Below are 12204 nucleotides of genomic sequence, written 5' to 3' on the forward strand. Positions count from 1 at the left end.
ACCCAGTCAGTAATTGGAAGCTCAGTTCCAAGACCATTAGTCACTAGGGGATTGCCATCCCTCCACAAGGGGACAAATTTGATCACTACCAGTGGTGTTCAGGATCTGTCTGCCCATTGCCCATATCACTCACCTCTTTTGACTCACATCAGACATTTGGAAGACGACTGGCTGGCACTGGGATGATTCCTGTGGCCATGATACAGAACCCAGATCACTGGCCACAATGGGAGGTGAACTCTTGACCCTGGACTCATTACAGGAACAGAGACGCGCCTATGACCATATGTGCTCTCTTCTTGGGCTAGAAGGGTGGCCAAGCCCTGCTCACCAGCACACTTGGATTGCTCCTCACTCATCACCCACATGGGGCAATGGCTAGAGTCTGGGGTGAAAGATTTAGGACCAAGGTTTGTGGTTGGATGGTCCTGCCTGGGACATAGATGATACACAGCTAGGGAGCTTCAGAAGAGTGAGAACAAAAGAATACCAATCATATTTCATGAAGAAAGAGGAAAGTGCTTTGCTTTGAAACTAAGGAAGGAAGAGCCTGGAGACATGCCCTGGGCTGCACATGACTCCCAGGCTCATTCATGTTTCTCTTGAAAATACTTAGAGATAAGTACAATATTACCTTAAAATCCACAGTTGTCAAGAAAGACCTTTCATTTCCCCAAAATGACAGTGAATCTTTCCTGCCTTGACTCCTGCCCTGTTCATGGTCTGCACCGCCAGTCTGGCCCTTAGCTTTCACTGCTTCATGACTATTAGTTGTGTTTTCACATGTAAAAATCTTAACTCCCAACTAACACCGTGCCAGGAACAGAAGGAAACACTTGGGAGTTCATCCTCTCTCTTTCCTTTTCTATCTCCTCTTCCCAAATGAGTCACCAAACAACTTTGGGTGTCTACCTGCTTTCAATGTTCTAAAAAAGCCTTTTCAAAGTCTGACCAATAACACACAAAATCCTGGTGAACAGGCCAAGCACAGGGCAGAGCTGAAAAATTCCTGCTTAACCTGAATCATTTTTCCCATACCAATATCCAGGTATTGGTTTCATACAATGTATCATAATAATTTAGTTCATTGCATCATAATAATGCTTTGTGCAGTGACTATAAAGGAGGACTCTGTTAGGCAGTGTCATTCGTGTAATTGTTAATATCTCACTTTCTTGGAACATCCTAACTTCAACCTCTGAAGGAAAGGGATTGGCACTCAAAGGACTCAAAAAGCCCTGACTTTGCTTCCCATCCTGGGGAAGTCAGAGCAAATCACAGACCAACTGAAAGAAGGAGTTTCCATTAACACTGACATAGGAATCTTTACAAAAATCTTCCAATCATATGAGGATTGCTTTTGCCTAGACATAAGGGCTACAAAATGCCTACACCTGGCCAAAGGGTCTAAATTGCTCCAGCAGCCAAGGGGGAAATCAGCCTGACCCATTTCTACCAAATATTCTTATTCTCAGCAAATCTACAACTGATGAGTGGGACATCTATGGCTTTAAGGAGAGTCTGATGTGTGAATTGTAGCTTGAATTTGTATTAACATTCTCATCTGCCAGCCACTTCCTCAGCTGCCGGAGGATCTTTGCACCATCTTTTCCACCCTCAGTTATATGGCCACAGTGAGTTTATTCACCATCTTCTTGGTTTATGAACGTATTTTTGCTAGTGGTTAAGTGACACATTTCTGGCACATTAATAATGGGACCCAACTTCTGTCAGGAAAGTCTGAATTATCCTAACAAAGCTTTGCTCTGTTAGATGCCATGTGTCTTGCTGTTGAACTGCTCTTGTGAATTTTGTCCTCCTGAAGCAAGTGTAGGGTGAAATGAGAGAAATAACTTTCCTTCCTGTTGACTTGTCTTTCTCAAAAATCTCCAGGCCCCACTAGAAATGCTTTCCCAGTGGTTCATAAAAGACCTCAGTCTCGCTTTGCCTCTCCTTCCACAGGGACTGAGGCTGAGACTGTTCGGTGCCTCTTTATCTGTTCTTTCCTTCTTCTAGAGTGTGAAAATTGCAGTGCATGCATGCAGAGAATAAAGACGACATTCTGAGCCTCCCTTACAGTGAGGTATTGTCCTGTGACTAAGCTCTAGCTAACAGGATTTGCATGGAAGTACTGCATTCAACTTCTGGATTGCACACTTCAAGGGACAGGGAGAGTTCTCCCTGTTGTTTCTGCCTTGCTGGCTGAAACGCATCCATGGTGGTGAGACACCTGGGACTCCACAATTAAGGGCAGTACCTCGTGGAGTGTGAGAAGCAATACACAAGAAGCCTGGGACTCTGAACACTTTGTGGAACAAAGCCACTACAGCAGCTCAGACTTTTTCAAGAAGAAATAAACTTCCATTTTTAAAGTCTGGGGTCTTTGCCAGTGTTGTTTTAGGCCTCTGTGACAGTTTCCTAATTAATAAATGAACTTCTATAATAAACAATTGCAATGCAGTAGCACCACAGAGAAGCAATCACCTTCCCATAATTCCCAATATCACCACCAGTCCCTCCAACTCAAAATAGAGTGGGTTCCTGGGTAGAGGCCAGCCCTGGCTCTTGGTCATTGGTGCTCCCAGGGACAGCAACATAGAGGGTGCTGGTATGGTTATTGCAGACAATTTACTGCCTCTCACTACCAGACATATGAGGGTTTTTTTTTTTAATAAAATGCACAAAACAAAGGAGCTGGTCATTTTGCTGTGTCTCCATTGTGGCACTACAACCAAAGACAAACAGTACCTGCTTGCCTGCTGGAGAAGGCAAAGACAATGATGTCATCAAAGGTCCAGGTGTAGTCCTGGTGTGGGGGGTAGAAAGTCAGCTTGTCCGAGGCCTCCTTCCTGAGGTCAATTAGGAAGGTGGAGTGGACCATGGGGACGGGGAAGCAGCCTGTCCTCTTCCATTCTCGAATCTGAACGTAGTCTGGGGTCCTCTTATAGAAGCCCTGTAAAAGAGCAAATAGGTGGGTTGTGTTTTCTGATTTGAAGTCTTCATCCTTCTCAGTCATTTGCTAGACTGATTCCTTTCAAGTCATTACCAGCTATATACAAGCTCCCAAACAAAGCCACCTTCACTCCTCTTATCATGGCCTATGAATTTCCAAGTGAGCACAAGAAATGCTGTCTACATATAAAATAATACTAAAAGGGTCTTGATATAAGAAGTAACTTTTATTTCAGCATATCTCTAGATTTAATAATTTCATAAAAGTGTATTTTATGTTGACTTATGATTAAATATGAAGCATGAGTATTAAGAAGTGGCAGAGCAGTTAAGGGCACAGGTTCCAGTGTCAGACTCCCTGAGTTCAAATCCTACCTCAGCTACTTATTGTCTGTAGGTATGGGTCAAGTGACTCAACCTTGCTGCGCTTATTTCCTCATCTCTAAAACAGGGATGACGGCACTATCTACTCCATGGGGTTAGCTGTAAAATTTAAGTAAGGTAGAACCTGAATAGTGTTGAGACTACTGCCCAGCACCAAGAATGTATCAGCAAATACCGGCTCCTATTAAAATGACATTACACTGTGGCTAATATTTGTAATTAAACATGCATTACTTAGATATACAAATGAGGGTCTTCTTTCAATGCAGTTACTTAGTCAATATTCTGGTGAAGCTGCAGCTGCTCCATAGTTTTTGGGGATTCAGCTTCTGAAACGTCCTTCTGCACAAGCACACAGGACAACCAATTTCCTTATTCCAAAGCTTGAATCATTTCCAGAAAAGATGAAGATATATCTCAACAAAACATGCTTACAAAACATACTTGTGGAAGCTTTGCCAGGCATTTTGGAAAATGTTCTAGGTGATGGCAGGCTCACTGGAATGAGTGTTAAGTTTTGCAAAGCCAGCACTCCGAAGGGCACCATACTCTGGAAGTTCTTATGTGTTCATTAATCAGTTGCATCACTTCATGGTTACATTTCCTGTTGTAATTCAGCATCCACACATAAGGTGCTACAGCCTCACCTACTTCTCTGACATTCCCTTCAGGTTCTAGAAGAGTGTCCTAGCTGAGCTAACCCTAATGCCGACCCCATGATAAGGGAGGAGGATCAAAAATGAGGACTCAGAAGATGTGGGTCTCAGAGTCATCTTAATCACCTTCTAGCCGTTTGATCTTAGTCCATGCCTACCCTCTTTGAGCCTGAGTTTTTTCTCCTGAAAAATGGGATAACAGCTGCTCTGTCAATCTCATAGAGCTGCAGAATGAATCACATGTGATAAGGTCTATGAACCTATTTTGGGAACTGCAATTCATTATATGAAGTATTATCATTACTATAATGTTTTTATTAGCCTTTAACTTAAGGATCATTTAACATCCTCTATGGTTTTCCTAATACTTCAGCTTATGAGCAGTCTTCCAAGAGATAAAGGGGACTCGGGTTTTTTAAAGGGCTGCCTAAGTACTTGCGTCTAATATAAAGTTCTAGATTACTTAGGAACAATATTCCCAGAATGATTAGCTTGGAAAATCCATGATGATGATGAATCACTGAATATCCTTGGGGTGGGGGTGAGAAGGAAGGAAGCAGGGAGAGTGAGGGAGAATAAATGTGCCTCCTGCAAAGAGGCAGAGATGATGAATGTGTTCCTTTTTCCACATAAATTGAATCTTGTTGGTAATAATTCCTGTTCATTGGCCAGACAACATCAAGGACATTTTGTTTTGAATGAGTTTAAAGGCTCTGGGAACCAGGTCCTGCTTTGAATTTATGAAGTCACTGGCCCTTTCTATTCCTGCTCTAGTAGAGACTAACTGGGATGGTAGAAAGCCAAAAATAAATGGAGGAAAATAATACTTGTCCCTAAGTTGCTCAGAATTTAGTTTTACTGTACAAAACAAGTGAGCACATTTCTCCTATTTGCTTTTAAGCCTGAAAGTAAATAAGGAGATAATACAAATTTGTAGGCTGCGGCCACTAGGATAACCCACCCTTGTTGCTGATGTCAAAGCACAACTCATTAAAAACAACCCTCAAGTGATTCTGCCATGTGAAACACTGAAAATGTATGAATTTAAACCAATATAATGTTTTCTCCCAAGGAAGTGAATGGCTGTTAGAAATATGAACATATTACCTTCCCAAAAGAGACACAGAAAATAGCACGCATTCAAAATCTCTTACAGCTAGAAGAAATAATTACAACAAAAGAGGAATGCTTCATCCAGTGGTGTACTGGACCACACATTGTTAAATTTTCAGAAAGTTTGCAAACCAGTTGACATGTTGATAGCTTGGAATCCATAAAAACAAAAATCACGTTAATCCCCACCACTCTAATGACACCTCATGTGGCAGTTTTACATGTTTTTAATAGCTGTATCATCAAGTGGCTATACTGCAGTTTACTTAACCTTTCCCTTAGCTTAACAACATTTAAGCTGTTTGCATGGTGGGAGTATTTAAACCATAAAAATTGGCAATGCTACCAACTAGGGTTTTTCCCACAAAGAGCCAGTTATTAAACATTTATCAGCACACTACTGACCTTATTTCTCATCCAAAACAAAACCAAATATAAAGGGGAGACTCAAACTTTAGCCCTTTGGCCATGAGAATACATTGAACATACTCCCTCTTTTTTTGAGACAGGGTCTCAGTTGCTTAGGCTGCAGTGCAGTGGTGTGATCATAGCTCACTGCAGCCTCAACTTCTTGGGCTCAAGCAATACTCCCTGCTCAGCCTCCCGAATAGATGGAACTATAGGTGTGCACGACACCACAACTGGTTAATTTTTTGATTTGTTGTAGAGATGTGGTTTCGCCATGTTGCTCATGTTGGTCTCAAACTCCTGGGTTCAAGTAATTGTCCTACCTCAGCTTCCCAAAGTGTTGAAATTACAGGCATGAGACACTGCTCCTGGCCAACATATTTTGCTTAGCACATTTTTATCCTACATTGATACATATTACATTAATCAGTTGAATTTATCTAATTCTTTAATTAAAGAATAAAAAATATAACCAGCCATGAGCATTCACTAAAACAGACCACTATTTTGAAGATTTTACTATGAAAAAAAGAAATAATAAAAAATCAAACCTTTTTTAACTTGAATTTTATAAAAATAACCTACCATGGTAGTTTTCATTATTAGAACTCTTTGGAAATAAATTTGGCAACATACATCGAAGGTCATTGAAATATTTGTACTTTTTTTTTTTTTTTCTTTTTTGAGAGGGAGTCTCGCTCTGTCACCCAGGCTGGAGCGCAGTGGCGCGACCTCGGCTCACTGCAAGCTCCGCCTCCCAAGTTCACGCCATTCTCCTGCCTCAGCCTTCCGAGTAGCTGGGACTATAGGCGCCCAACACCACGCCTGGCTAATTTTTTATATTTTTAGTAGAGATGAGGTTTCACCATGTTAGCCAGGATGGTCTCAATCTCCTGACCTTGTAATCCGCCCGCCTTGGCCTCCCAAAGTGCTGGGATCACAGGTGTGAGCCACCGCGCCTGGCATATTTGTACTGTTTGACTCAGTAATTCCACTTCTAAAAAGCTATCCTAAGGATATAATCTTAAATGCTGAAAAATTATATTAATCATGACGGTCACGATAGTTAAAAAGTTGTGAATAATTTAAATGTTTTTCAAACCGAGATAAAGGTTAAGTAAATTGGAACATAGCCACTTGATGATAACACAGTTACTAAAAACGTGCAAGTTTCTATCTATGATGTTGTTACGGTGATGGGGATTTAACATCTGTCTTGTTGGTTTTCTTTTAAACTTTTTTTAATTTCTAAGTTTTTCTATAGTGTTCTTATGTTAGTTTTGTAAGGACAAAAAGAATTAATTAAAAATAGTAATTCCTGAATCAGGAATTGGCTAATTTGACGTTTCTAAGGCTAAGCTCTTTAGACTATTTTTTTCATAATAAATTAACACAGAAGAGCCCAACTGGGTGTAGCATTGGACCCAGATTTACTGCCCTTCCTAAAAAATGCTTGCTCTGGGAACACAATGACACGCATGTTTCAAGGGAGTAAACAAGAGAAAGGTGAATGGGACTACTGTTGACCGGGTGTTGCCTTGTTAAAACTAGTAGCCTTAATTCATTTAAGCAAAAGACTTGCCTTAGGGGTGATTCCGCACCAGAAATTAGAATACAGGCCCCGAGACTCCAGCATGGGGGCCACAATAGTTTTGTTTTCTGCAATCAGTAGATTGAGGGTCTGTGGATTAGTCAGGAAATTGTCAACATCTATGAACTAGGAAAAGAAAAGGATAATGTTAGGTGAAAAGGTACTTTTCAGTAATGAGTTTGAGAATAACCCAGCCCTTCTGAAGGATCCCAGAAACTTGCTCATGACATATGGAACCAGCTATCTATGTCCTCCTTATTGAAACCCATTGCAGCTAGGTGGCTTTCATTCAGTCAAAATATATTTAGTCTAACTTTCGTATGTTGGGCTCTGCATAAGGCACTAAGCAGTAAATTGGTGCTGCCATACTGGGCATAGCCTCAACCAGGAACCAACCTACACTTTGGCTAGTGTTTTAGGCACAAGATATTAATGGCTCCCAAGCCATTAAAGGTTCATTCAAAAACACTTATTGGCTGCCCAGTCTAGGTACAGATGGGCATGCCTACTTAGCTTTTCTATAGTAATGCCAGAGTAGCTCAAAACAGATCTATCAATGAATTTTAATGTGACAAGTAGAATTTTTGTTTAAGTACATTATATCAACCCATGCTAACCAGTGAAGCTATTTCCTATTCTTAGAAGTCCATGTTAACAGTGATTTATTTAGAGACAGTATAACAACAGATTCTAATTTATAAAAGAAATAATCATACTGAACTATACACTGAAAAAGGGATAAACTGACAGATTTTACCTTTTGTAGGTTTTATCACAATAAAAAATTCAGAAGTCTTCATTTTTATGATAGTCCATCTGTTTACCCCAAATTTTGTGATTTAACATTTGTACACTTCAATGGCATTTAAACAGCTACACAATGTTAAATATTGTCAGTACAATTTGAAAACTTCTATGAAAGGATTTGTGTCACAAGTGTGCGTGATACATTTTTGGGCAGATTTTCACTGTGGTTGAGGGGATGGGGATGGACATAAATTCTCCAAAGAGAGCATCACTGTGCCAAGCAACAGATGCTACTCCCCAGATCATTCAGGAGCAAAAGGGAACCATTTCAGAGCTGTTCAGCTGAATCACTTTTTTAGATAATTACTTTTTCATATCCCCCAAATTCTTCCAAAAAGTTGTAAGAACAACTTACATTGCTTTACCTACAGCCTTTCCTGTGAGCTAAAAATATGCAGAGTTCTTATGCCTGTTGCATGGCAGAGACCAAATAATTCAGGCACTTCTTCACTTACCCACTGAAAATGCATGTGGGCCTGAAGATGAAGTCCAGGTAGCCCAATTTTAAACTACCAAAAATTTCATTGTGCCTTTCTTAAAAAGTGGGGGAGGCACTGCCTAATCAAAAAGGTTGTTTTGATTGCTTCCATGGTTCTAGTTTTTGGACGACTGATTTGGATACACCTGAGATGACAGTTGTCAAGAAATCAAACATCTGTTTTTACCAGAATGTAGTCTGACCATTTTTCCCTCGCAGTTCGAAGGGCTGCCTGTCGTAGTTTCATCACATGGGCAAACCGGGAGGTTGGCCAGTGCTTTGGTCCAATTTCATCAGGGTAAGACCTAAAATAATAATAATAGCTCATCATTATTGAGTGCCTACATGTACCAGGCTCTGTCCTAAATGTTTATATGTATTCATTTAATCTTCTATCAATCCCAGGAAGTAGATACTATTATTATTGTTATCATCATCCCCATATTACAGATGAGGAAACCGGAGCAATGAGAAGTCAAGTAACTCACTGCTCATTGTATACAAGAATCTTTACATGAAATATTTCAGTGGGTTCTAATGAGAGCCCTTTGAGGTGAGTACTGCTATTCTCTGCATTTCACAGGTGAGGATATCAGGGTAGAGCAGTTAAGTCATTCGTCCAATGTTACACAATGGGGCACAATCAAGATTTGAATCCAAGCAAAAAGCTCATGTTCCTAGACAATTTTTATACATCCCGACATCGAATAGATTTGGAGAGTATGCAGTGTAAAACATGAGTTTCCCAGGAAAATCAAAGGTTTAATCTACTTGTTGGAGTCTCCACAAATGATTCCACACAGCCTAACACATTGATCTATCTTAGGTAAAGTGAGGTCGTGGGATCTCTATCAAGATTCACAAAACAGCCAGGCCAAGACTCCTTCATGGCCACATAGGCAAGTGGGTTGGAGCACGCTCCAAAACCCTTCTGAAGGCACCCAGCTGGCACGGACATTGATACTGTTGCAGTAACCCAAAACTGGCCACCACTTCAAGATCTCATAGCTGCACTGGCAGTACATTTGTTTTAGTGAGTGAAAAACTGCAAAAACAATGAGACTGTAACTAAACAAATAAGGTTAATAAAACTATGTACAGCACAGGAATTCTCTGGAATATCTTCCCCAGTTATTGTTTCAATGAAAATCAGTGGAATTCTCATTTTTCTAAATATATTCCCCCCAAAAATGCCTGTTCTAATATTTTTTCACACTGACCTTGGCATATAATATATTTAGTCAAAACCTGGCTGCAGAGAACATTACCAAGGTGCAAAGAAGGGACACAAAGTATTTCTGTGCCATTTTTGTTAGGCCAAACTCCATTATAAGGCACTCTAAAGGAGTGTTTACAATCTTTTACGGTGTTCAGACTTCACTGTTAAATTTTGCTTGATATACAGTCCATGGGCTTGGATTTGAGAAACACATATGTATATATTATATCATATTTATATATATTTCTTTATAATATAAATATTTATAATAATTCTTACATATAGAAAGACTAGAAGAACAGAAACTTGTTCTGGAATGGCATTTATTATTACTATAATACAAATTTGGCTTTCAATAAATGACTTCTCTGGGGAAGAAATTCAGGCAACTCCTTCATTCTATTTCTACAGTTCCTTAAAGTAAAACTGTAGTAGCTTTGGGAACATTTATAATAGTAAGTTTTAAATACATTTATTCTTGTTCTTATTTGTTCATCCAACCAGTATTAATTTAGTGCCTGCCAAGAACATGGCTCTGAGGGGAGAGGGGGAATATAAAGTGTTTATATATTCTAGCCCCTGCCAAAGAACTTACAACTTATTTAGAAAAAAAATACATTAATTGCATAGGGGGAAAATGTTGGTTGCGTATATCATTGTGCCAAAAAGGATGACATAGAATATAAGCAATACAATTGTTGAGACAAAGGTAGATATTTATAACTGAGTGATTAAGAATAGGTTTCTATAGTAGGCATGATTTAGGATAAGAATTAGTTATAAAGAAGGAAAGGGTCTTCCAGGACCTGCACAAGCAACAGTGTGGGGTTTGGAAATAAAAGAAACGTTCTGGATAAAGCACATTTTCTTTTGGTGCTAAATTCATGGAATTTTAAAAATATAAGTCTTAGGTGTTTGAACTTTGTTCAGGTCCTAAAGAGTAAGTGAAGTATTTTTAATAAAGAAATGAAACCATTTCATTTGTATTTGAGGTAGATTGATTTGACTGTATGGTATGTAGGATGACTTGGAGATAGAAGCAATTAATAAATTGCTATGGTGGCCGGGCACGGTGGCTCACACCTGTAATCTCAGCACTTTGGGAGGTCAAGGCGGGCAGATCACAGGGTCAGGAGATCGAGACCATCCTGGCTAACATAGTGAAATCCCCTCTCTACTCAAAATACAAAAAAATAGCTGGGTGTGGTGGCACACACCTGTAGTCCCAGCTACTCGGGAGGCTGAGGCAGGAGAATTGCTTGAACCCAGGAGGCGGAGGTTGCAGTGAGCCAAGATTGCACCACTGCACTCCAGCCTGGGTGACATAGCAAGACTCTGTCTCAAAAAAAAAAAAAAAGAAAGAAATTGTTATGGTAACCAGGCACAAAGGCTCACACCTGTAATCCCAGCACTTTGGAAGGCCAAGGTGGGAGGATCGCTTGAGGCCAGGAGTTCAAGACCAGCCTGGACAACATGGTGAGATCATGTCTCTACAAAAAATAAAAATAAAATTAGCCAGGCATAGTGGTGCATGGCTGTGGTCTTAGCTACTCAGGAGGTTGAGTGAGGAGTATTGCCTGAACCCAGGAGTACGAGGTTACAGTGGAGCTATGGTCATGCCACTGTACTCCAGCTGGGGTGACAGAGTGAGACCCTGTCTTGAAAGAAAGAAGGAAAGAGAGAAAGAGAGAGAGAGAGAGAGAGAGAAAGAAGAGAAGAGAAGCGAAGAAAAGAAAAGAAAGAAAAGAAGGAAAAGAAAGAAAGAAGGAATTTCTATGGTTAAGATAGGAAATTACCTAAATGAGCATCAGTAGGGGATCAATTAAATAATTATGGTAAATGCACATACAACAGTGATTATGCAGTAAAAAAAATGAAAATTAGCTCCTTAACTATTGCTATAGAATGATTATCAAGATAAAAGTTGAAAAAAGCAAGCTCTATGTAGAAAGTATACACATTTTCAATATGATCCTCCAAATATAAAAGTTTGTTTAAAATATGAATAAATAATATCAATATTTAAAAATATAAACTGTCATGGCAATTTATTTATGAAGTAATGAAAATCTGAACTTGGCTGGCAGCTGTGGGAGTAAACAGCAAGAGAGTACTGTGAAGATCTCTAAAAGGGAGAAATGGCAGATATTCAGAACTCACATAGCTACAGAAATGAAAGACAATGAAAAGTCACATGTACCTCCAAACCTGGAAGCCCTAAAGAGCTAGTTAAAGAGGAAGGGTAAATAATGAGTTTACAAATTTCGCACTTGCTACTCACTCTGGTTCATCCATAGGCCTCCACTCCACATAGTGATAGAGTCTCTGTACATTTTTCAACCACTCCCTGAATATTTCTGTTGTATTATCCACATTGTGATCAGTGGCTGCCCTGCATGAGAGAAAGCACAATATAGTTTAACTATGTCATCCAATGAAAGAGAGGGAAATCCAAAAGACCCCTGACTAACTGAAAGAAGAATGGCTACTCCTGGAAAAAAAATTGTATATATGAAAATAATTCCCTCATAGTCCAAACTAGACAATAAATTTCCAAAGTGAGAGACACTGCTTAAAATCATCTTTGTGTCATTAG

At 39.7% G+C, this 12204-nt stretch overlaps 1 protein-coding gene across 3 annotated transcripts in view; it reads right to left on the bottom strand.

The window, feature by feature from the left end:
• Positions 1 to 12204, bottom strand: part of COLGALT2 (collagen beta(1-O)galactosyltransferase 2) — a 108067-nt gene that overhangs the window by 36859 nt on the left and 59004 nt on the right. For all 3 annotated transcript variants that reach the window (NM_001303420.2, NM_001303421.2, NM_015101.4), the window contains exons 2-5: positions 11890 to 12000; positions 8577 to 8694; positions 7096 to 7230; positions 2749 to 2953 (exon numbers count right to left, since the gene is read on the bottom strand). In NM_001303420.2, coding sequence (NP_001290349.1) covers positions 2749 to 2953; positions 7096 to 7230; positions 8577 to 8694; positions 11890 to 12000 — 569 coding nt within the window. The remainder of the gene's footprint in view (positions 1 to 2748; positions 2954 to 7095; positions 7231 to 8576; positions 8695 to 11889; positions 12001 to 12204) is intronic.

This window comes from Homo sapiens, chromosome 1 (assembly GCF_000001405.40).
Source record: "Homo sapiens chromosome 1, GRCh38.p14 Primary Assembly".
NCBI classification, from domain to species: Eukaryota; Metazoa; Chordata; class Mammalia; order Primates; family Hominidae; genus Homo; species Homo sapiens.